Source organism: Homo sapiens, chromosome 5 (genome assembly GCF_000001405.40).
Source record: "Homo sapiens chromosome 5, GRCh38.p14 Primary Assembly".
Taxonomy (NCBI): Eukaryota; Metazoa; Chordata; class Mammalia; order Primates; family Hominidae; genus Homo; species Homo sapiens.
Window position 1 is genome coordinate 122,704,361 of NC_000005.10, and position 26,847 is coordinate 122,731,207.

At 38.6% G+C, this 26,847-nt stretch overlaps 1 long non-coding RNA gene across 1 annotated transcript in view, besides 1 other annotated feature; it reads right to left on the minus strand.

Annotated features, from left to right (window-relative positions):
* Nucleotides 1-26,200, minus strand: part of LINC02201 (long intergenic non-protein coding RNA 2201) — a 101,609-nt gene extending 75,409 nt beyond the window's left edge. Inside the window, exons 1-5 of the long non-coding RNA NR_109881.1 lie at nucleotides 26,129-26,200; nucleotides 23,982-24,039; nucleotides 21,586-21,706; nucleotides 17,854-17,963; nucleotides 1,066-1,109 (exon numbers count right to left, since the gene is read on the minus strand). This is a non-coding gene — a long non-coding RNA (long intergenic non-protein coding RNA 2201). The remainder of the gene's footprint in view (nucleotides 1-1,065; nucleotides 1,110-17,853; nucleotides 17,964-21,585; nucleotides 21,707-23,981; nucleotides 24,040-26,128) is intronic.
* Nucleotides 25,320-25,520: a silencer, noted in NCBI's record as "peak5446 fragment used in MPRA reporter construct". NCBI's record gives its function as "represses an SCP1 promoter by STARR-seq MPRAs in K562 erythroleukemia cells {active_cell/tissue: K562}" and the evidence as "EXISTENCE:reporter gene assay evidence [ECO:0000049][PMID:32103011]".
* Nucleotides 26,201-26,847: the final 647 nt, after the last annotated feature.

Sequence of the window (26,847 nt, forward strand, 5' to 3'; positions counted from 1 at the left end):
AAATTTAAGCATCAGTACAGGACAGCTAGAAACTAAGTGGCTCTGGAATGTTCAGTAAATAAGTAGCTTGAGCCACTAGAGGGAGTGTGTACAGGAATGAATGAAATGAGATACAAACTGTGCTATAACATTTAATTGATAACCATAAATCTACGACCAGGAAAGATTCTTCTTTAAAAAAAAAAAGTAAATACTTTTAAAAGATAGGCTGTATGGAATATGTCAAATCAAGCTATTTCTCACCAAACAAAAGCAAAATTTAAACACTAGTTTATGCTGTGAACTTTTAAAAATATTAAATGTAGGCATTTGCAGTTCTGTGCCATTCAGTCCTAAATGGCAACTTAGTGTATGCTAACCAAATTAACAGCTCAATCTTACTGTTGTATTTTAGACTTTTCAATAAAAAAAATCATACATTAAATGTATCTCATTCCTCATTTCAAAACTTCAGGAGAAACTTTAGTGAGTCAGCATTTTACGCTTGAAGAAAAAGAGACCCAGAGTAGTTCATCAAATTATCCAAAGTCTTATAACTAGCTAGCAGATGAACTTATATCAAAAACTTTAGGCCTATATGGATAGAAAAGCATTTTAACAATCCACAAAGGGAGTCACTCGGTAGATTCCCTTTGTAAGACTCCTACCTTTGTGGTGTTCGTTCTTGAGAAGAAATACTCATTCTTTAGTGTTTTTTCAGATCAAAATGGCTCCACACCAACCTGGCCAGGGTTCTCAAGGTTACAGAAATTTTGATTCATTTACACAGCTATTGCCCCAGGTATACATGAGCTCCCAGGAGGACTGGGAAGGTCAGGTTCTACCACCATCCCCCTTTGTTTTCTTCTTAATTCTGGCCTCAGGCATTGCTTCTGCCAATTTTAAGCATCTAGTCAGTTTATTCCACTGGCTTTGTTACCTTTCCTTACAACTGGGCTTTGGTCTGAGCTACCTCAGTCCATCCCAACAGATTTCCCTAACTTGAGTCTCAGGAAAAAAAGTTGGGGCCTTGATAACTCCCCTGTCAGAGAATGTCTGGAACTCTTAGCAAAGCAGTACACTCACTCCACATGCTCTGCATTCTGGAATTGTCAGGATGGAGAGACATCCTAAGACAGAAAAAAATGTGTTGTTACAAACTTTGGGTAGAGCAATGTAAATATCCTGCCTTACTTATAATAAAAAAGGAAGATTACTCAAATGATTCTGACCTTATGACAAAATTACTTCATATTGACTTGCTTTCTCCACTTACAACATAGCAATGCCAGATACACTATTAGAAGTCTCAGCTCCCCAGCTGCCCACTGTATGTCGATATGGGATGAACCTAATTTTACGTACCATGACACATACAGAAAAATCTGGGAGTAACAACATCAATATTAATAGATAATAGCTGCTCTATTTAGACAGTTGGGCAAGTATTTTCCTCCTAAATAATTGGTACACTTATGTATCTGTTAAAAAAGGGTTTTGGCTGCAAGTAATAAATACTCAGTAAGGCTGGCTGAAACAAAGAGTGGTTTATTTTTCTCATATAACAAGCAGTTCTTCCAGAGGTTGTTCTGGCTTGGTTCAGTGGCTCAGGGGTATTATCAAGAATGCAGACTCTATATCTTTCTTCTATTATCCTCAGTACATTAGCTTTTCATCCTTAGGCTTTCCCAGAGGCCCCAAATACCTCACCCTATGTCTCATTGCCAGAGCAGTGTCACATGGCCACCGCTATCTGCAAGCAAAGGGGAATGGAATGACTATCATTATCTTAGATCCAGGACAAGGGCAAATGGTTAGGACAATTTTGTTGTATACAATCTGTGTATGTCCTTCCACCTCCAACAGTTGCTATGCATCTCCTGGGGCTGCCCTGAACAAATGATGGCTCTATAAGTGAGGGGAAAGGAAAGAATAACTATTGGGTAGGCAATTAACAGCACTGGCCACAGCTTTCTTCTATAATCTACCCTTTTCATGTTCTGTCATAGATGTTCGACATGATTTTTAAATATGCCTAGTAATATGTCATTGATTTCTGTCTCTGATAAGTACAGAAAGTCATCAGTCTCTAGGAAAGAGTCAAATCCTTTTTTAAAATGTGTGTGAGCATCCTTCCCCAGAAAAGCAGACTTTTCCTTCCTACTCATTTCTCTATATATTTCTGAAAGTATGCAATTTCAGTGGTCATCATTTAGTTATATTTGCAATTTTTTTCAATTTTCCTGAACATTAAATCAACCACCTACTCTTTTCTGTGACGAAATCAATGTGTGGATTCTCTGATTAACTTTGAGATGCTCTTCCCTGCTACACATAAAATTCTGTGGGTACTAAACCAATGAGCCTTTTCCAATCTCCATGATAACATTTATAGTCATTGTCATGTCAATGGAAAAAAACTTTCTCTGAAGCTTGGTATTTCAGTATAAACAAAACAAGCAACCTCATACACTTCTCCCTTCTTTTATGTCCCTCACATATACTGAAATAAATTTCACTTAACCATAGAGTGAAATATCCGCTAGCACTCTCCAGACAGTAATTGTTCTTCCATATTATATGCTGCTGATACAATATCCAACCTTATCGGTTGACAAAGAGATTCTTTTTTTTCTTTTATTTTCTGAGACAGAGTCTTACTCTGTAGGCTGGAGTGCAGTGGTGTAATCTCAGTTCCCTGCAACCTCCACCTCCTGGGTTCAAGCGATTCTCCTGCCTCAGCCTCCTGAGTAACTGGGATTACAGGTGCATGCCACCATGCCCGGCTAATTTTTTTTATTTTTAGTAGAGACGGGGTTTCACCATGTTGGCCAGGCTAGTTTTGAACTCCTCACCTCAGGTGATCCACCTGCCTCGGCCTCCCAAAGTGCTGGAATTACAGGTGTGAGCCACCATGCCCAGCTGACAAAGGGATTCTGTCAATTGTTCTTTCTGCTTTACTTCTGATCATAATAATTATCTTTACTATCATAAGTGCATTTAAAACTTTAATAGTAGTGTAATTTGTACTTATTTTTCTATAAGGGTTGAAGCTTTCAATAAAGCATTTGTATATCTGCCCTCTTCTTAAACTAGCAATTTTGTCCTGGAAACATTATTTTACCATTGTTCTTGGAATTTTCTATTGGTATACCAACAAAATCGCTATTTTTCTTGAACTACATCAATGGCTTTATGCCACTATATAAAAGTTTCATAATTGACAATGTACCAGGAATTAGGAGCAAATGGACTGCCAGTCTGATTAAATCTAATATTCAAATATTTAAATTTTTTACTTTTTTTTTTTTTTTTTTATGACAGGGTCTCACTCTGTCACCCAGGCTCAGGTTGGAGTGTAGTAGCAGAATCATGACTAACTGTAACCTCAAACTCCTGGGCTCAAGTATTCCTCCCGCCTCAACCTCTGGAGTAGCTGGGACTACAGGCATACATCACCACACCCAGTTAATTTTTTTTTTTATTTTTTGTAGATATGAGGTTTCATTATGTTGCCCAGGCTGGTCTCAAACTTCTGGCCTCCAGCAGTCCTCCCAAGTTGGCCTCCCAAAGTGCTGGCATCACAGGCCACTGTATCCAGCCTTTTTTTACTTCTGATTCACCCTCTTTTATTCCTACTGCCTGTGTGAAATCATCACAGTTACTAATTTATTTGTCTCAGGCCATGAGTCACATTTTATAGTGACACAGATGTGGAGCCTTTGTATGGCTGTGTTTGTCACTTTTGATCCATTTATTCATTTTTATGAATTGAACATATGACAATATATAATAACTATAAAAAGACAAATTCAGCACATGGATAACAAGCACATTGTGTGTAAATATGCCTCACTTGATGAACTGACTAACACAATTCTTGTCATACATGCACATTTTTAAGAATATCATACTTATTGAGATACAAAAGATTCCTGTGAAAATGTTAAATTTCAAAATTTACAAAATATATATGAACAAAATTGTTCCATTTTTCCCTCTGAAGGCTTCACACTGTCTGTGGAAAATTTAATATGCCACTGAGACCCCCAGTAGTCCATGGACACTTGAGGAATATTAAAAAATACTTGGGATACAGTTATTCCAACCATAGAAAGAGGAATTTTTTTTTTTTTTTTTTTTGAGACAGAGTCTCGCTCTGTCGCCCAGGCTGGTGTGCAGTGGTGCAATCTCGGCTCACTGCAAGCTCCGCCTCCTGGGTTCAAGCGATTCTCCCGACTCAGCTTCCCGAATAGCTAGGATGACAGGCACGTGCCACCATGCCCAGCTAATTTTGGTGTTTTTAGTAGAGACGGGATTTCACCATGTTGGCCAGGCTGGTCTCGATCTCCTGACCTCGTGATCCACCCGCCTCAGCCTCCCAAAGTGCTGGGATTACAAGCGTGAGCCACCACACCTGGCCAGAAAGAGGAATTTGAACTCCAAATCTATGGTCATTTCTGACTTGAAAGTTCTACACCTCCCATTTAATTACATTTAAAGGAAAAGTATTCCTATAGCAAACAGCAAAGGATGTTATTAGATTCATGAGCTTGATTTTATAGTTTATCCCTCCTGACTTCTTTCATTTTGACTTACTCATTAACTATAAGCACAATTCCAATTTCCCACCTGCCTAGAATCTTTGAAAATTCAAAAAGATGTCAAAGCACTTACCCAAAATCTGTCAAAGTTTAGGCTGTATTAGTATTGATTTGAGTTCATCGTAAATGCTCTAGACTGGAAGACAGAAAGAAGACCAACATGTAGAAGCGACAAAGTAGTGTTTTGTTTGTGTGTTTGTGGAGACGGGGAGAAAAGGAGATGTGGAGGACCGGCAAAAGCTAGTGCTCTCTGAGTGGCAAGGAGCTTCCAGAAAAAGCAGAGTGCTTTTTGGAGGTATTCAGTGAAACCATCAGTCATAATCGACCTGGGACTCTATAGAAGAGATTCAACACTAAGAAGGAAAGTAGGGTGATCTCTAAAGTCCTTTCCAACTCTAAGATTCTATTATAAGTAGAAAACAAAACACGACCTTTGTTGTAGCACTGGACTCTATAAAGTTTCCGTAAATAACAGTATTATCACAATAGAATTGATTGTAATCAAAAGAGTGAAGCACTCATTTTTACATAATGGATCATAAAAATAGTATTGATTAAAAAATATTAACACTGTACATATTAAAATAAAATCCTGTTTATAACATCACAATATTGTTCTTAATTTCTAAAAGAAACCCCAAGGGCTGTGGCACCTGAATAATCTCTAACAATGAACATATTGCCTTAATTATTAACACTAGCAATTAAAATGTAGGAGAGGCAAATTGATCTTTTTTCTCTAAGAGCTTTATCTGTTTCTCTAAAGGACAGTTAAAATCATCTAAGCACCATAAAAACTGGTGAAATCCTAAAAGGAAATTAGCAATTTCTAAGGTAAATATAAATTATTTTCTTTTGGACTCATTTTTTGATTTGTTTTGTTTTAGACATTTTCTTTCTATTTTCTAGTTTAAGCTGTAGCTGTAAATACAAAATAAAGCACAGGAAAAATGTTCCACAGTATTTGTCTCCAAAAAAGACCTAAGATATTTCAGTACTTTAACTCCAGCTTCTAATGTCCCAGTCAAATGTTACTACAGCATTTTTGCTTTTGACAGATGTTAGAAAACAAGCCAAGGCAGAAAATATCAGATACAGTGAATACAATGGTATTGAATACAATAGTAATAGTTAACAAAATGTGTCTTTATAGCAGCATGATTTATAGTCCTTTGTGTATATACCCAGTAATGGGATAGCTGGGTCAAATGGTATTTCTAGTTCTAGATCCCTGAGGAATCGCCACACTGACTTCCACAAGGGTTGAACTAGTTTACAGTCCTACCAACAGTGTAAAAGTGTTCCTATTTCTCCACATCTTCTCCAGCACCTGTTGTTTCCTGACTTTTTAATGATCGCCATTCTAACTGGTGTGAGATGGTATCTCATTGTGGTTTTGATTTGCATTTCTCTGATGGCCAGTGATGGTGAGCATTTTTTCATGTGTTTTTTGGCTGCATAAATGTCTTCTTTTGAGAAGTGTCTGTTCATGTCCTTTGCCCACTTTTTGATGGGGTTGTTTGTTTTTTTCTTGTAAATTTGTTTGAGTTCATTGTAGATTCTGGATATTAGCTCTTTGTCAGATGAGTAGGTTGCAAAAATTTTCTCCCATTTTGTAGGTTGCCTGTTCACTCTGATGGTAATTTCTTTTGCTGTGCAGAAGCTCTTTAGTTTAATTAGATCCCATTTGTCAATTTTGGCTTTTGTTGCCATTGCTTTTGGTGTTTTAGACATGAAGTCCTTGCCCATGCCTATGTCCGGAATGGTAATGCCTAGGTTTTCTTCTAGGGTTTTTATGGTTTTAGGTCTAACGTTTAAGTCTTTAATCCATCTTGAATTAATTTTTGTATAAGGTGTAAGGAAGGGATCCAGTTTCAGCTTTCTACATATGGCTAGCCAGTTTTCCCAGCACCATTTATTAAATAGGGAATCCTTTCCCCATTGCTTTTCTCAGGTTTGTCAAAGATCAGATAGTTGTAGATATGTGGTGTTATTTCTGAGGGCTCTGTTCTGTTCCATTGATCTATATCTCTGTTTTGGTACCAGTACCATGCTGTTTTGGTTACTGTAGCCTTGTAGTATAGTTACGTTTATTGCGGCACTATTCACAATAGCAAAGACTTGGAAACAACCCAAATGTCCAACAATGATAGACTGGATTAAGAAAATGTGACAAATATACACCATGGAATACTGTGCAGCCATAAAAATGATGAGTTCATGTCCTTTGTAGGGACATGGATGAAATTGGAAATCATCATTCTCAGCAAACTATCCCAAGAACAAAAAACCAAACACCGCATATTCTCACTCATAGGTGGGAATTGAACAATGAGAACACATGGACATAGGAAGGGGAACATCATACTCTGGGGACCGTTGTGGGGTGGGGGTGGGGGGAGGGATAGCTTTAGGAGATATACCTAATGCTAAATGACGAGTTAATGGGTGCAGCACACCAGCATGGCACATGTATACATATGTAACTAACCTGCACATTGTGCACATGTACCCTAAAACTTAAAATATAATAGTAATAAAATAAAATAAAAAAATAGTTAACAAAATGTCCCTTTTGGTAACAGATTACCAACCAATAAAAGCAAATTTACTGAGATAAAAACAAAATATCTGAATTGTTAATTGTTAGAGTCTGGTGCTATAGATTTGAGATGTCATGAATTTGCTTATATATATATATACACACACACTATATACTACAGATATAGCATATACTGTATATTGAGATATATATACACTATATATGCTATATAGTATACTATAATATAGTATGTTTACTATATATACTCTATAGTATATATAGTAATAGTATATAACATACTATTAGTATAGTATATATAGTATATATAGTTTATAATAGTATATATACTATTATATATACACACTATAGTATATAGTATACTATAGTATAGTATATATAGTAGTAGAATATATTATATACTATTATGTAGTATATAATACTATGTATAGTAATATATACTATTAGTATAGTATACAATAGTATATGTAGTAATATATATTGTTAGTATAGTATACAATAGTATATGTGGTAATATATACTGTTAGTATAGTATACAATAGTATATGCAGTAATATATACTATTAGTATAGTATACAATAGTATATGTAGTAATATATACTATTACCATATTATATAATAGTATATGTAGTAATATATACTATTACTACAGTATATATTACTATATATACTATAGTAAGTATGTGTGCATATGTGTATATGTATATACTATTTACTTCTTACATGACTCTCTAAGCAGTGTTTAGGAAAGTGAGTTAGAAACCACATGCTGAGCTCTCAAAGATCTGGTGATACCCATGTCTCGCCAAATTAATGGAAATAATTTCTCTTTTTTGCAGAGATCTACATAGGGCTTGCTCCCTTAAAGAAACTATATAACTTGGGGGCAGGCACAGTGGCTCATGCCTGTAATCCCAGCACTTTGGGAGGCTGAGGCAGGCAGATCCCAAGGTCAGGAGATCGAGACCATCCTGGCCAACATGGTGAAACCCTGTCTCCACTAAAAATACAAAAATACCTGGGCAGGTTGGTGTGCACCTGTAGTCCCAGATACTCGGGAGGCTGAGGCAGGGGAATTGCTTGAACCTAGGAGGCGGAGGTTGCAGTAAGCCGTGATCGCACCACTGCATTCCAGCCTGGCGAAATATATATATATATACTATAGTGTGTGTGTGTGTGTGTGTGTGTGTGTGTGTGTGTGTGTGTGTGTATACTATTTACTTCTTACATGATATATATATATATTTCTATATATATATAATTTTATATATATATTTCTATATATATAATTTTATATATATATTTCTATATATAATTTTATATATATATATATATTTCTAACTTCTTACCATGGGTAAGAAAATAAAAAGAGAGAAAACTGGGCATTTTAAAAGAAAAAATTATGCTACGCCCTGTGTATAATGATCATATTGCATTGTTTGAAATGTGAAACAGTGATTATGTTGCTAATTACTGAAAACTTCTAGATAAGAATTAATTTCTGCTCCAAATTATTTTAAGATCCCTCTTTACCTTAAATGCTATGAATATTTCTCTTCTAGGATGCGCAGAGATTGAATAAAACAGAAAGATACTATACGAACATTGGAAAAAATTATTTAACAAAATTAAATTCCATAAATATCTATGCTCCATGTGGCACAGTAACTCCTAATACATGAATGAAAAGCACTATTTCCTGATAGGAAATGCTCTCCCCACTACGGATACAATTACTTAAGTCCATAATTCCTTGCATTACCAAGCCAACTGAATAGAAGCCAAAGCTGCTATAAAGATTACATTGTAAAAGAAGCAAAATTTGTTGATTTGTAACTATTTTGAAGTTTAGTCTAATAGCTTAAATTTTCCCATTCCCAGGCAGTATGTAGAGATTCAAAAAGTACTATTTATTGGATGTCAAAGAGGGTGTAGTTTTTTTTTTATTTTTTTATTTTTAAAATGTATTTATTTATTTATTTATTTTGAGACATGGTCTCACTTCATCACTCAGACTGGAGTGCAGTGGCACAATCTCAGCTCACTGTAACCTTCGGCTCCTGGGTCCAAGTGATTCTCCCACCTCAGACTCCGAGTACCTGGGACTACAGGCACATGCCACCATGCCTGGCTAATTTTTGTATTTTTTGGTAGAGACTGGGTTTCACCATGTTGGCCAGGTTGGTCTCAAACTCCTGACCTCAAGTGATCTGCCCACCTTGACCTCCCAAAGTGCTGGGATTACAGGTGTGAGCCACTGCACCCAGCCAGGATGTAGTTTCTTAAACTGAGATCTAGAAGTGGCTCCTTAGAACTTTTTTTAAAAGCATGAAAATGAGCCAGGCACAATGGCACATGCCTGCAACCCTAGCTACTCAGGAGGCTGAGATGGGAGGATCACTTGAGCCCAGGAGTTCAAGATCAGCCTGGGCAATATAGTAAGAGCTCATCTCAAAAAATAAATAAAAAATAAAACATTAAAATAAGCATATGCCAAACCAAAAGTAATTTGAAAAGGCCTGACTCCAAATTAGGCCAGAGATTTATAGAAAATTAATCAATTATCCAAAAAAAAAAAAAAAAAGCTAGTGAGTATACTTTCTTCTCATTTTGCTCCTTTTTGATTGATGTTCAAAGAAATTTGATTCTAGAGGGAATGGGACTCCTATTCAATTTTCTAGAAGTTACTTATATGCATCAGAGAGCAAAAGGCAGCTAGAATCTGTTGGAGATTTTCTGGGATTACCTGAAGATTTAAGAATCATGGCATACGGGAAGAACTGCAAACTCTAAAGTTTGTAGACAAAGTTCAAAGTCACACTTTTCTAGGTTTATGTAAACTCTTTGGATCTCAGTATTTTTTTTTCATTTAAAAAAATGGGTATACTAATGCCTCAAAAGATTAAAGATAATATATTTAAATGTATAGAATATAAGAGTCACTCTCGCATAATATATTAAAAAGAGAAAACAGAAAGCCACTTAAGGAGCCTTAAGCAAAATTATATTCACAAACTGTTTTGAAGTCAGAGATATTAGATCAAATTGTAAATTACATGAGGTTCTAATCCTATTTAATTTATTACATTAGTATGTTTTAGAGATGGCATATACCCACAAGTCTTGAAAAACTTAAAGAAATATGTCAGTTAATGGCAGAAATAACTATCATAGGCAGTAAATGGTAAAGAAAGGTAATATATTAAAAAGTAAAAGTCTTATTGCTTCATTTTTAAACTTTTAATAAGGACTGCAGAAATTTAACATCCAAACTAAACAATCTAATAGAATTACTGAACATAGGCTTGACTGAAGGAAAATAAACATTATTTTGTAATCAAGAACCATATCTGAGTATGGTAATAGCGATGCTGAAGAGATAAGCAACATGGAAAAAAGATGCATTTTATTTAACCTCAAATATACAGTGTTCTCCTGGGTGTCATGATCTTCCTCATTCCTGGACCAGATTCTGTAATTCTACCTAGTGACCCTCTAGCCCTTAGCTTTCAAACTGCAGAAGAGGGGCTCCCTACATTTTTGTGTAACATTATTGCAAGGACTCCAATACCATGGTGTTAAATATATATGACATAATTCAGTAGGGCAGCTCTTAGTCATTTCACTCAAAATCTTCTTGCTCTGCTAAAGGGGCTTTGCTGAAAGACAAATCCTGATGACTGACAGCATATGGCACTCAGATTTGTCTGTCCTCCTCCCTAGAACTCGTATCCTGAGTCATGCTCACATGTCTGGAACTTCACCCATAGGAACTCTCTTCTGGAAGAACTTTCATTAAATTTTGCCAACAGCCTTCTGTAAGATTGCTCCACTCTACTGTCAGAAATGCTGATTTGTCTGAGGATCAAGCAAGGACTCACAGGAGTACTTTTCCAGGAAGCTCTTCAACTCCCATGCAATTAAGTTTCCAGCCCATTATTAAATAGATAGCTCCAACCATGTCTGAGATGCCAGATTCAACCACTTCCTGCACTGCAGAGAAATCACTGTTAGTGAACAAAAAAGTAAAAAACAAAAAAATCATGTTCTCCCTTATAAGAGGCAGCTAAACAATGGGTACACCTGGATGTATAGAGGGAAATAATAGACATAGGGGACTCCAAGAGGAGAAAGGGTGGGAAACAAGTGAGGGTTAAAAAATTATCTACTGGGTACAGTGTTCACTATTCAGGTGATGGATACACTGGAAGCCCAAACTCCGCCATAACACAATATATTCAGGTAACATACCTGCAAATGTACCCCCTACATCTATAAAAATTTTTTAAGATTAAAAAAAATTTAAGGCAGGAGAATTCATGTAAATTGGGGTAATCCATGGCGTGTTGGTGGGGCACAGATAATCCAAGCCCTCCCTAACACAATTTTTATGCTCTTCTTTTGTCATAATCAGGAGACTGATTTTTTTTTATTTTTTTTTTGAGGAGACAGGGTCTCACTTATGTTGATCGGGCTGGTCTCCAAGAGCTGGCCTCAAGCTATCCTCCTGCCTCAACCTCTCAAAGTACTGGGATTACAGGAATTAGTCACTGTGCCTGACTGAAGCTGGATCTTAAAAACACCATAGTTCCCTAAAAGTATAGAGCCAGTATGGTGCTGTAGCCAAAGGTAAAGCCATGCTTTGTCAGAATAAGGTATTGAATACAAAACAGTAGCTCATTCCAGTATTATCATATATGGAATACTGCATACAGTTCGGGTTGCTAAACTACAACATAGAGTCAAGAAAAATAAAATTCCAAGGAAGGATGGATAAGAAGTTAGCAATATATAAGTTTTGCTAATAAAGCATATGAACGCAATCAGAATGCTTTCAAAATCCAACTCAGTTACATATGAGGGAAGGAAGAACCTACTCAATACCTGTGATTACCTCCCAAGCCTTATCAGCATTTTATTTGTTTTGAGAAAAATGCTTATTTTGGGTGGCGCATGGGGGCTCACACCTGTAATCCCAGCACTTCGGGAGGCCAAGGAGGGCGGATCGCCTGAGATCAGGAATTTGAGACCAACCTGGTCAACGTGGTGAAACCCTGTCTCTACGAAAAATACAAAAATTAGCCGGATGTGATGGTGGGCACCTGTAATCCCAGCTACTCAGGAGGCTGAGGCAGGAGAGTCACTTGAACTGGGGACGGGGAGGTTGCAGTGAGCCAAGATCATGCCACTGCACTCCAGCCTGGGCTACAGAGTGAGACTCAGTCAAGGAAAGAAAGGAAAGGAAAGGAGACGAGAGGAGAGGAGACGAGAGGGCAGGGAAGGGGAGGGGAGGGGAAGGGAGGAGAAAGAAGCTTATTTTGAGATAGTTTTAGACTTAAAATAGAAAAAATTTATATAAGTAGTACAAAGACTTCACATATACCCTCTACCCAGCTTCCCTAAATGTTAATATCTCTCCTAACCACAGTAAAATTTCAAACCCAGGAAATTAACATTGATACTATACTATTAACTAGTGTACAGTATTTATTCAAATTTCACCAGTTGTCCCACTAATACCCTTTTTTCTGGTCCAGGATCCAATCCAGAATCTGACACTGCACATAGTTGTCATATCTCCTTTGTCTCCTCAGTCTGGACACTTCTGTAGCCTTTCTCTATCTTTCTTGACCTTTACATTTTTTAAGAGTATTGGCTAGTTTTTTTTGTAAAATATCTCTTAACCTTAGTTTGTCTGATGTTCCCTCATGAGTAAATGCAGTTTATACATTTTTGGCAAGAATGTCTGGCTGTAAGATAGAAATATATATAGGAAAATTACAAAAAAGAATGCCCACAGTTCTGTTGAGCCCTTCTCAGTGCATCTTATCTAAAAGAACGTGATGCCAATGTGTCTCATTACTGATGATAACTTTGATTTCTTGTTTAAAGTCAAGTCTACCAAGTTTCCCCTCTGTAATAATTTCTCACTGTAACTAATGAGTATTTCATGGAAAGATACTTTGAGCTTCTGTGAATATCCTTTTTCTCATCACTTTCACTCATTCATTTTAAGCATCCATTAATAAATCTTACCTATAGTATCTATTACTGAGGTGTTTGTCAAACAATGAGTTTCTATTTCCTCATTGTTTCTACTTTTTTTTTTTTTTTTTTTTTGGCAGGGTCTCACTCCATCACCCAGGCTGGAGTGCAATGGCACAATCACAGCTTACTGCAGCCTTGACTTCCCAGGCTCAGGTTATCCTCCCCACCTCAGCCTCCCAAGTAGCGGAGACTACTAGTGCATGCCACCACGCCCAGCTAATTTTTGTATTTTTCGTAGAGATGGGATTTTGCCATGTTGCCCAGGCTGGTCTCAAACTTGTGAGCTGAAGCGATCCACCCACCTCAGTCTCCCAAAGTGCTGGGATTACAAGCATGAGCCACCACACCAGGCCTGCTTCAATATTTATTAATTGAGATTTTAAAATAAGAAAAAACTGTCGGCTGGGCACAGTGGCTCATGCCTGAAATCTCAGCAGCACTTTGAGAGGCTGAAGCAGGCAGATCACCAGAGATCAGGAGTTTAAGACCAGCCTGGCTAACATGGTGAAACCCTGTCTCTACTACAAATACAAAAATTAGCAGAGCATGATGGCAGGCACCTGTAATCCCAGCTACTCAGGAGGCTGAGGCAGGGATAATTGCTTGAACCTGGGAGGTGGAGGGGAGGTTGCAGTGAGCTGAGATCGTGCCACTGCACTCCAGCGTGGGTAACAGAGTGAGACGCTGTCTCAAAAAAAAAAAGAAAGAAAGAAAAAGAAAAAAAAATAACTGTCTACTCATTCCTGTTTTTGTTTGTTTACTTATTATTTATTTATATCAATATAGACTCGTGAATGTTTATTTTATGGTTTATAATCAATTACCTAAATAAATTTTTTTTGCTCAATTTTTCCAGATTTGGCCATCGAGTACTTTTCCCAGTTAGCTCCCATATCCTTTTGGTAAGACTCCACATCACCTTTTGAATACTTCTTACTTTCCGGCTGTGGAAGATGTTTTAAATTCTTATTGTACTTTTCTTGCTCTCGCCCTGGAGTCAATCACTTCTTCAAATAACCATTTTCTGTTTATGCAGAAAGGGAGAGAGTTAAGCAGAATATTTTTAACTCTAGAGTCAGTCCTGGGCTTTTTCAAGTCTCTTTCTGATTCTACTACTTGGAGATACTTGCCAGAAAGTAAGTTATTTGAAAAAAATTTAAAAGGCTTACAGGACCATTTTTAAACTTTGGCTGAGGCAAACTCAGATGTAATTTCCCCATCTAACTTCTGGTCTCCTTGTTATTATAGTTCCACATACATCAGAAATAAAGTTCCCTTGGAGACTGGAGAACTCCACCTACCATTTTAACAAAATATTGAATTATGTGATTCTTGGTAGAGAGTAACAAAAGTCTTTTTTTAAGGGAGTTTTTTCAACATTCAGAGAGTTCCAAAAGGCTAGCTAGATCTCTAGTCTGAGTTTTCTGGGGGATAAAATATTTCAGACCCAATGAAGAAAACTGAGGAGCCAACATAACTCATTATTGTAGGGTTACAGACATCAGACTTTTTAGAGAAATATGATTTAGATTCAGGTTTAATGTGACAAAGATTGCTGACTCTTTCCAATATTCATTCTCCTTTTTTTTTTTTTTTGAGACGGAGTTTCACTCTTGTTGCCCAGGCTGGAGTGCAATAGTGTGGTCTCAGCTCACTGCAACCTCTGCCTCCTGGGTTCTTCTGCCTCAGCCTCCCAAATAGCTGGGATTACAGGCACCAGCCATCATGCCTGGCTAATTGTTGTATTTTTAGTAGAGACAGGGTTTCACCATGTTGGCCAGGCTGGTCGTGAACTCCTGACCTCAGGTGATCCACCCACCTCATCCTCCCGAAGTGCTGGGATTACAGGCATGATCCACCACGCCGGCTCCTCTTCTTTCTTAATTAGTAAAGCCCCAAAATTTGTCAGAAGTAGGTGAACCAGAGCAACTCCATCTTAAGTAGGAGCTGGATAAAATGAGGCTGAAACCTACTGGGCTGCATTCCCAGGCAGTTAAGGCATTCTCAGTCACAGGATAAGAGGTCAGCACAAAATACAGGTCATAAAGACCTTGCTGATAACACATGTTGCAGTGAAGAAGATGGCCAAAACCCACCAAAACCAAAATGGCGACAAGAGTGAACTCTGGTCGTCCTCACTGCTACCCTCCCACCAGCACCATGACAGTTTACAAATGCCATGGCAATGTCAGGAAGTTATCCTATATGGACTAAAAAGGGGAGGCATAAATAATCAACCCCTTGTTTAACATATCATCAAGAAATGACCGTAAAAATGGGCAACCAGCAGCCTTCAGGGCTGCTCTGTCTATGGAGTAGCCATTCTTTTATTTCTTTACTTTCTTAATAAACTTGCTTTCACTTGGCAGTGTCAACTCACCCTGAATTCTTTCTTGAGCGAGATCCAAGAGCCCTCTCTTGGGGTCTGGATCAGGACTCCTTTCCTGTAACATAGCCACCCAGAGTAGTAGAGCTATACTTTCCAAGCTTCTCTAAAGCCAGGTGTGACGGTGTCACCATGGTCTGGCCAATGAGATGAGTAAGTGACATTTGTAACTCCCCAGTTATATTCTTAAAGAAATGGGTCATGCCCACCACTTTCCTTTTTTCTTCTTCCTCATGACTGAGACATGGACATTCTAGCAAAAGCTAGAGAAGTCATCTTATGCAAAAAACATGGAAGTCACATGCTAAAGAGGTCACACATTAAAGACGACAAGCTACAGCCTTGACATCATGGAGCTGCCATGTTAGGTATGGTCAGCTTACACTTAGGTTGAAACATGAGAAAGAAATTAACTTCTGTTTTTCTTCAGCCACTAGTATTTGGGGATCTTTTTATAACAGTTAAACCTATATCTAACTAATATAGAAGCAGTATCTGGAAGGGAGACTTCCGCAACAAAAGACATATGTAATATTAATACAGCAATTGAACAGGAAACAGCAAATATTCAGATAAGCCAGGGTGGAAAGCTGGTGACTCTTATTATGTCATAATGAAACTTTGGCTAAACTGTTACCTGCCATACATTGGACAGTAAGCCATAAACTGTCAGAGTCTGTGACTCTAAGGCAACTAGTTGGAAAAATTCAGGATCTTGGTGTGTGTTGGCTGCTTCTTGCCACTTGAAGCAAAATCTTACAAAAGAGATAAAGTCTGAAATAGTCTCCCCTAAGGGAGGAGAATTCTATTTTATGAAAAGAGGCATTTTCTGTCTTGCCTGAAATATAACTTGAGTGAAAGTGCAGTAATTTGGGTGCTCAAAGGTTTAAAAAAAGTATTTTTGGTTTTTTGTTTGTTTTGTTTTTTGGAGATAGGGTGTCACTCTGTCACCCAGGCAGTGGTGCAAACACAGCTCACTGCACCCCCAGCCTCCTGGGCTCAAGCGATCCTTCTACCTCAGCCTTGGGCCACCATATCTCGCTAATTTTGGGGGTAGAGACAGATTCTTACCATATTGCTCAGGCTGATTTCAAACTCCTGGCTTCAAGCAATCCTCCTGCCTCAGCCTCCTAAAGTGCTGGGGTTACAGGTGTGAGCCACCGTGCCCAGCCAAAAAAGCCAATTCTTCTTTACCGAACACAAGCAAGAATAAAAGGTAGCTCTCAAGAGCAGCTGTAAGTGGAAATTAGAATGTGGCCCCCCATAAAATGGAGAAGGAAAGGAAGGAAGGAAGGAATGAAGGAAGGAAGGAAGGAAGGAAGGAAGGAAGGAAGGAAGGAGAGAAAGAAGAAAAGAAAGAAAGAAAAAGAGAAAGAGAGAAGGAAAGAAAGAAAGAAAGAAAGAAAGAGAGAGAGAAAGAGAGGAGGAGGAGGAGAATGTGGACTGCAAACCTTTTTCGAGCACTTTTGATAAAGTCCCTGACAGTCAGTGAGTGCCAACTCCGTCCAAATATCAGATGATGGCTGTGGCCTCCCACTCAGTCCATTGTTTTAAATGGCCTGAACATGGCTACATTAAAATTGAGAGGGCAAATGGACAGAGCACAGAGGGCAATAAATAGGTCAGATACTTTAGTTTCAAAACTGTATTAGGGTCAGATCTATGTTTGTGGTTCCTTGTACCTGAAACTAATGATGCAAGTAAACCAGAAAATTTAACTGGGGAGGGCAAGGAGGGGGATATTTTATTTCCAAGGAAATTATAGTCCTGTTGTTTTTTGGCTTCTGCTCCTGTATTAGTCAGAGTCCCATTAGGAAAGACTTAAATTCTGTAATTTGAGGAGAGTTTAATTAAGGAATTATTTGTACATGGTGAGAAGAAGTAGCTGACGGAAAGGAAGAGTAGGTCACCCCTTCAGCTTGGAACAGTGGGGTGCTATTACCATCCTTTAGTGAGGAGAGAAAACAGTTTCTGAAACTAGCAGACAAAAAGAGATGCCTGACAGGCAACAAGACCTTTGCTTGAGGGACACCACAAGCCTAGGGCAACCCTGTGAAGGAGAGAGCCACGGGAAGAAATACCCCAACCTTTCTCATTCTTCCCTTCCTCTGATCTTCCTCCAGCGCTCCCCATTTGCTGAACCCAATTGAGAACAGAACAAGGAAGTTCTATTGAGGTAATCTTGTCAGTCTCCCAGAAAAAAAGATTAGGGTAGAGAAGGAGAAAAATAAATAATCTAGAGGAGTAAATAAATAATATTCCACATAACTGCACACCTACACCAGCAGGAAAATGGGGTACAATGCTATGCAGCCTTTAAGAAAGGTTTATTCTCCAGTGTCCATCACAGATGAGGCCATGGAAGACGATGAACAGAGAGTTCCTCCTAAAAAACAGAACAAGATGTTGCCGTGTGAAGATCTATTCCCAGGGAAGGGGTCCTAGCAGTTTCTGTTCATCTGGACCAGTAACAGCCTCTTTCCTTTTCCAAATGGAGTCTTAACTGTGGTTATTATGCTGTGAAGGAGAGATAACTTATTTTTTAGTTCATAGGTTGCTAGGCCACAAGGAAACATACCCAGACAAAATGAGAGCATTACACATAGACTTTGCTCAAGATGTGGTAATTACATAGGACCTTTGAGTTATCTCCTCTTTGATAGGAAAGGAAATAAATATGCTTCATTTGTGAGAAAAAGCGTGTGCACAGATATTGATGTAGTTAAAGGCACTGACTGTGGCAGAGAATTGTTAATTATCCTTCAATATCTATTCTCCCCATCTTCCTTTAGAAATAGAATCCCAAAATTTATCTGAGCACATGGCCATCTGTCTCCTTTGCAGCCAACTTTGGTCATTTGACTAAGTCTTGGCCAATAAAATCTAAGCAGTAGTAATGTTGAAATTCATTCTTTTGTCCTTAAAGTAAAGGAAATGATCTCTGCTTCCCTCTTTTCTTCCTTCCTACTGGCTGTGATGTGGACAGACATGTGCAACAGTGAGAGCAGTCATATCTGGCTATAGGTAGAAGCTGCATGTGGGAAATGGCAGAGCAATGAGATGGATGAAACATGGGTCCAAACATTATGAAACCACAATTATCCCCAGACAACTTATTCTTGAATGTTATTTAAGAATAAAAGAAAAAGTCTCAATTATTTTGAGTATACACCTCAGAGGCCGAAACCTCTACCTTAACTAATACTTAAACCAGGTGTAACTAAAGAGAACAGGAAATGCAGTCACCCTGGAGAAAGCCAAGAGAAAGGAACCTACTCAAGATTTAGGGAGGACTATGCCTTCTCTCACACCCAGAACACTCTCCAAGTCCATGACCATTTGGGAGAATATTGCAAATATATGTTGATATGAAAACCCTAGACATTTCCTCACTGGAATTGCATGTGAAAGAATCTATCAGATACTCAGTCCAGATACTTACCAGATACTTTCTGCTTCTAAACTGAGGTGGCCCCATATACAAAAAGGGTCCAGCATGGCCCTAAAACCAAGAATTACCTGGGCAAACAGCAAATTCTCCCTTCTTTGAGGGGACAAAGAGTGATTGTCTTTTTCTTTCTGTCATACAAAGCACAGGGAAACGAAAAAATACACTTGGAAATGACAAAGAGTACTTTATTGAGTTTGGAGAAAATAGTGTGAAACCCAGGGCAAAGAAAGAGTCTCTACAATGACCAGTGAAGGGGGAAAGGAGGAAGAGGCAAGCAGGACTATTACCAAGAGAGAGAGGCGTGGTGGAAGCTGATTCAGAGCTGAGCCAAATGTGTAATTGAAACCAGAACTGGTTAGGACGAAAGTACAAGTTTAAAAGTGAGATCACAAAACCTATTCCAAGTAGCCACAGTGTTTATATGTAGAGATGGAATGGATCCTAAGCCTTAGGAGATCTCTTGCTTGTTTTCTAAGCAAGACTCATTCCAATGCCCAGCAGGGACACTTGAGGGCAATGAGTTAAGTACATCCCCATTTGATCTTCCTATCAGATGGGAAATTCCCATGTGCTTTATATAGTTTTAAGTTTTCTTTTGAAATGCAACTATGGAAATGAAATTAAGGAGCAACTATTAAAGTCTTGCACTAGAAACAATGAGTTTTACTTGACTATGGAGTTTGTTTAACTAAGGTGATTTGGAATACCTTAAATACCCAGGAAGGAAGACGATCCCCTTAGGGACTTAACGGCCTGTTACTTGTTCACAAACAGAACTAAAACTAGAGACTCACAGGATTGGTAAATATCTTTTTCTTCTTATTCCCTTGGCAAATGTTTGCCTGCTTGACAGAGTCCATTACTCATTTTAAAGGATGCTCATTGCCAGTTTCCTAAGTATACTATTATTAAAAGATGAGTACATTTTTGGAAAATGTCAATAAAACTTTAAGTTAATTTTAAGACTGTAAGATGGAAATATCTATGCAGATGTTGTATATTGATTTCTAAAAATATTTTCTTCCCAATGGCTGCTTCTCAATTTTGGGTTTCGGGATCTTTTCCCTCATCTACATTAACTGGAAAATTAGCACAGGAAAGGTAAGTAATGCTATATGAATTCTCAATGGTCAATAGAACTGAATCAGAAGGCCCAATTTGTTATCTACTAACCAAGAAATTAATTCTCTCTAATACTACTTCCTATCTATATGGTCTCGTACAAGCCTCTAAACCTCTCTGTTTTATTATGTTTAAAATGAGAATAAACAGCTCAAAAATTAGCTGGGCGTGGTGGCAGTTGCCTGTAATCCCAGCTACGAGGGAGGCTGAGGCAGGAGAATCACTTCAACCGGGGAGGCGGAGGTTGCAGTGAGCCAAGATCGCACCATTGCACTCCAGCCTGGGCAACAAGAGCGAAACTCCCTCTCAAAAAAAATAAAATAAAATCATAAAATAAAAATAAATAAATTAATAAATTAAATGGGAACAAAGGCCGAGTGTGGTGGCTCACGCTTGTAATCCCAGCACTTTGGGAGGCCTAGACGGGCAGATCACTTGAGGCCAGGAGTTCGAGACCAGCCTGGCCAACAGGGTGAAACCGCATCTCTACTAAAAATACAAAAATTAGCTGGGCGTGGTAGCACACGCCTGTAATCCCATCTACTCCAGAGGCTGAGGCATAAAATCGCTTGAACCCTAGAGACGGAGGCTGTAGTGAGCTGAGGTAGCACCACTGCACTCCAGCCCGGGGAACCAGAGCAAGACTCTGTCTCAAAAAAAAAATTAAATTTAATTTAATTAATTAATTAATTAATTAATTAAATTTTAAAAATAAGGCCGTGCGCAGTGGCTCACGCCTGTAATTCTAGCACTTTGGAAGGCCGAGGCAGACAGATAACGAGGTCAGGAGATCGAGACCATCCTGGCTAACACGGTGAAACCCTGTCTCTACTAAAAATACAAAAAAATAGCCGGGCGTGGTGGCGGGCGCCTGTAGTCCCAGCTACTCAGGAGGCTGAGGCAGGAGAATTGCTTGAACCCGGGAGGCTGAGGTTGCAGTGAACCGAGATCGCGCCACTGCACTCCAGCCTGGGCGACAGAGTGAGACTCCATCTCGAAAAAAATAAATAAATAAAAATAAATAAAATAAAAGTTATTTTCTTATCTACATGGGGAAGCACAATTGAAAGAATACATGTGAAGCCGGGCGTGGTGGCTCACACCTGTAATCCCAGCACTTTGGGAGACCGAGGAGGGTGGATCACGAGGTCAGGAGATCCAGACCATCCTGGCTAACATGGTGAAACCCCGACTCTACTAAAAATACAAAAAAATTAGCCGGGCGTGGTGGTGGGCGCCTGTAGTAACAGCTACTCAGGAGGCTGAGGTAGGAGAATGGCGTGAACCCGGGAGGTGGAGCTTGCAGCGAGCCAAGATCGCGCCGCTGCACTCCAGCCTGGGTGACAGAGCGAGACTCCATTTCAAAAAAAAAAAAAAGAATACATGTGAAACTGTACCATAAACTCTCAAATGCTGGTAGACTCCAGGCCTTTACCTTAGGTAGATCTGCCTCCAGAACTCAGCATCTCCAACTCTTTCTCTTGTTCAACCGCATTCTAATGCCAGCTTCTCTTCTTGCCTTCTGAGTTCTTACATTCTCCTTGCCTTCATTCTCTCTGTGTAAGAAATGGGAATTATATTATCTACCTGATGCAATTGGTATAAGGGCAACCTAGAAAGCTCCTGGTGCAATGCTTAGCATATGGTCAACTCAATAAATCCAACTAGAGATGGGCAAAAGCAATCAGAGGCCATCTAATCCACTTCTCTTATGCAGTTGAGGAACCAGTGCTGAGAAGTGAGGAAACTGCAGTTAAGCATGGAGCAGCAGATTTAGATGCCAGGTCTCTGGACTCTCAGAGTTCTTTCCACTGTAGATTGTGGTAGTATCAAAACAAATAAATGATCAAGGGGGAAATCATCAAGGCGTGTTTCCCAGTAGAGTCAGTGAAACCAGTATGAGAATGAAGTGAGGGGCAAGGAAGGGAAGGAAAAACAAAATAAACTCCTTTTCTCGTGGTTCAGTGGGCTATTATAGCTATATACATCACATAAATCTTCTAATGGAGGTTTTATAATTTGATAAAATATATTCTGATACATCACATAATGGAAGATTATCCAGCCACCAGAGTCTGAAGTAGACCGATAAGCACTAGCATAGAAAGGTGTGCCCAATATATTTAAGGGCAAAAGGTGCTGCATGGTATCTACAACATGGTCCCATTTTTGTTTCATGTATATAAGTCTTATGGTAATAAGTCTGGAAGGACATCATCCAGATCATTAGCAGTGGTTATCCTTCCATATAATAAAGACTTTCCTTTTCTATTTTATTTCTGTATTATTTAAATTCTCAGATTTTGATCATTAGGAAAAATAAATCTTTTTTAAGTAAAAAAAAACTTTTGAAATAAAGATCAATTGCATGAAAGTGCAATTATTCAGTATTACAAAAGATTAAGAGCTTTGGCAAGAAGAATGAAAATATTCAGCCCCTTTCTTTCTTAAAGATTATTGCATTTCCTTTATGTGAGCAATATGAGCAAAAATAAAAAATAAAGATAAAACAACAGAGGCAAGCACTTATAATGGAATATCTTTTCCCCACATGCCTAACTAAATAAAAAAAAAATGCAAAGCAGGCTATCTTGGAAGCAAGTATAAAAACTCTTCCCAGCCCCATATCTAAAAAGGAAACAAATCCAAATTATGTCTCACAGCACATGCACAATAGCCCTGCAGTGTTTTAATCCACTGTTACTTGGTATCTTAGTCCTAAGGATCTTAACCTTGTCTGGGAATCCCCTGAAATGTGTCAAAAGGTATACATAGTGCATGTGTACAGTTTTCTGGGGAAAGGAACTATAATCTTCATCCAAACCCACGAATATTAAGAACCACAGTATTCATGTATTCACACATATTCATTCTACGGACACTTGAGAATTGTTTTCTTCCGTGCATTGTTATACATGCGGTAGGAATGTTATGAGTCACTCTACACACATCATTTCTAATTCTGCCAGCAATACTGCAAGTAAAGATTATCCCTTTTTTACCAGTGGGCAATATGAAGAATTAAAGGTGTCTACAAATTCTTTTTTTTTTTTTTTGAGACAGAGTCTCTGTCCCCAGGCTGGAGTGCAATGGCATGATCTCGGCTCAGTGCAACCTCCACCTGCCAGGTTTAAGTGATTCTCCTGCCTCAGCCTCCCGAGTAGCTGGGACTACAGGCATGCGCCACCATGCCCAGCTAATTTTTGTAGTTTTAGTAGAGATGGGTTTTCACCATGTTCGCCAGGATGGTCTCAATCTCTTGACCTCGTGATCTGCCCTCCTCGGCCTCCCAAAGTGCTGGGATTACAGGCATGAGCCACCATGCCTGGCAAAGGTGTCTACAAATTCTTTGACACTTTTTCCATTGAGAATTGGGGCGCGATGCTCCTTCCCCTTGAGTCTAGATGGGCTGTGTGACTACGTTAACTAACTGAATATATCGGAAGTGACACTGTGTCAATTTCCAGGCCCAGGACTTAAGACACAGCCATCTTCCAGTTAATGTCCTTTGGAATAATAGCTCTTCAAAGCCAGCCATCACATTGTGAAAAAGCCAAAGCAGCCCTCTAGAGATGCCCACACAGAGAGGAACTGAGCTCACCAACCTGCCAGCCACATAGATGGGCTGTCATGGAAGTCGATGTTCCAGCCCCACTCCAGCTGCCCCAGATGATGCTGTGTGGCATAGAGAGGAGCCATTATCCCCAATGAGCCTGTGGTAGGCAGAATAATGGGAAGATGTACATATACTAATTCCGAGAACCTATGAATATGTTACATTACATGGCAAGGGTGAATTCAAGTTGCAGATAGAATTGCTAATCAGCTGACCTTGAAGTAGGGAGATTATCCTGGGATATCCAGATGGGCCCAATGCAATAAAAAGGTCCTTAAAAGAGGAAAAGAGAAGCAGGAGAGAAGGTTAGAGTGATTCAGTGGGAAAACAACCTGACCAGCTGTTGCTGGCTTTGAAGATGGAGGAAGAGACTGTGAGCCAAGGAATACAGGCATCCTCTAGAAGCTGGAAAAGGCAAGAAAACAGATTCTACCCCTGGATCTTCCAGAAAGATACACACCCCTGCTGACACCTTGATTTTAGCTCAGTGAGAACTGTGTTGGATTGCTTGCCTACAAAACTGTAAGATAACAAATGTGTGTTGTTTTAAGCCACTAAATTTGTGATAATTTGTCACATAATAGAAAACTAACACAGAGCCCTTTCCAAATCGCACATTTATGAGCAAAATGAATTATAGTTCAAAAACCACCGTGTTTGGGGTTGATTTGTTCCTCCGTGATAGACAACTAGAACAATAAAATTAAGCTCAGGATAATTAATCTTTCCAAGTGACCCAAAAAGTTCAATTCCTTGGCTGTGGTATGACATTTTTCGCTGTGAAAACCTTCATGGTCAAAATGTCACCAGCCATTCCCCCCCGCAGGCTTCCTGGACATCACTTGTCTCCTTGCCACCCCCTGAATCTGCTCTCCCAGGGGTTTCAAGTGCTCTCTTTGCATCAAACCCCACGTGGTCATTTCTCTGTCCTCATTCTCAGTGGTGACATTGTTGACCACCACTTCTCTTTCTTTCTCCAAGAAGAGGTTCTTACACACACCATTATTTCAATGTCAACACATTAAAATCCAAACATATCATTCTTAAAAATAATGACTACTTAAAAAGTTAATAGTACACAATGGCAAAATTAACAACTTTTTAGTAGGCTGTCAAACATTTTTATGAATGCCTAAGCCTCTTGTTTTAACTTACTTGAAGATGTTTCACAGATTTAATTTTCTATGTTTAAGTATCTTTTTTCAGTGGAACCATAAATGCCCTTTTAAATTAGTGGCAGTGAAAGTAGTTATCCTGGAAATAATTGTATTGAGCAATGAAGTTTTACAACAAAGCTATTTTAATCAGCTGAAATAACACTCTTCTCTGGTCATTATATTACTAGAGAAGGAGAGTTACATTTTCAGGCAGGGATAAGATCACTTCAGTTCTTCAAAAGGAACTTTCGTAGTAAGTCTTCCCACAAAGTCTCCAAAGTAAAGTGATAATTCACTGGAAAATAGGATCATTCTCCTTCATTCCTCCTCATTTGTTGAAGACCACCATTTCTTGATGTTTTTAAAGATTGATGATTTAAAGAAAGTCCGTTTCTCCTGAGTGAAACCAGTGAGAGATATTTCAAATCTTAGAGAAACTCCCTCTGGCCTACCAATCCAAACATAGATTAGGTGCAAGCATGTTTAACTTTAGAATATAATGAACCAAGTAGCCTTTTGACTCAAATCTCTGTGATACTCCCAGAAGTGTAGCTGTGAGTCAGAAGAGATAGCAGGGAAAATATATCACAAGGTGCTATTTGTTTCTAAAAAGATAAACATAAAATATAAAATGTGTGTTTTATGGTGCTGTGTGGTATCTACAACATGGTCCCATTTTTGTTTCATGTATATAAGCCTTACGGTAATAAGTCTGGAAGGACATCATCCAGATCATTAGCAGTGGTTATCCTTCCATATAATAAAGACCTTTGCACCAAATATTGAGTGTTTATAAATATTGCTCAAATATGAAGCAAACATGAATGTATTTCCCTGTAAACCAAGTCTCAATTGAATTTTTGTGTTCTTATTGCAATTTTACCAAATAAGGAGAATTGATACAGTGTGAATCAAAAATAAAACAAAAAGAGGATTTGAAACTAGGCTTTCATTATTAGGAAAGTAAAAAGGACTTCCAAGAACACTTGGGGAAACCTATCAATATACAAAGATAAAAAAGTCACTGGGTGACAGAGTAACTGGTCTGTTTCCCTACGGGCTGCAGGAGTGAGCTAATAAGGATACAAATTATTCTGTTGGGCTCCAAAAAAAAAAAAAAAAAGAAAAGAAAACTGTGAAGGTATAAAATAACTCTACCAGTTAGCACTCTGTAGTAAATGATGGAAAATCCAACTCAAACTTGCCTGGTTAATTAGAGAAATATATTGGTTCATGTAGTTGAAGGCTCAAGGACTAAGCTTCAGGCATAACTTGATTCAGGGGCTTATGCAATGCTATATGAGGTCAGTTAATCTCCAAGTTTTGATTTTGTCATTCTCTGAGTGTTGGCTTCATCCTGAGGCTGTCTCCCATTGTGACAGTAGCAGTGTCAAGCCTCATGTCCTTACATCACTGGATTCTGTGGAAATGTGAATGCTCTTCTTACTCAGGAGCCCAGCCAAGGTCTCCCCATGTCTCCCTGTCTCTGATTGGGTTAGATGCCCATCATCAACCCCATTACTTAACCAGAAGAATGGGATATGCTAATTGGTTCTCCCAGTTTCTCCCGGACACTGAGGAAACAGTCACACGCATACAAATATGGCAGAACATAGCGGGGTAGTTTCCCAAGGGAAATTTAATGTATTAGAAAGTGTGAATGTTTGTTAGGCAATAGTGTCCACTATAATAAACTGGTATCAGATGTTAGTACGAGACTTTTTTTATTGTTACATGATATTTTATAAATTTACGGGGTATATGTGCTATTTCATTATAAGCATAGAATGTCAGAATATTTAGGATATCCATTACTTCGAGCATTTATGATTTCTATGTGTTGAGAACATTTCAAGACCTCTCTTCTAGCTATTTTGAGATATGCAATACATTGTTGATAACTAGTCACCCTACTCTGCTAACT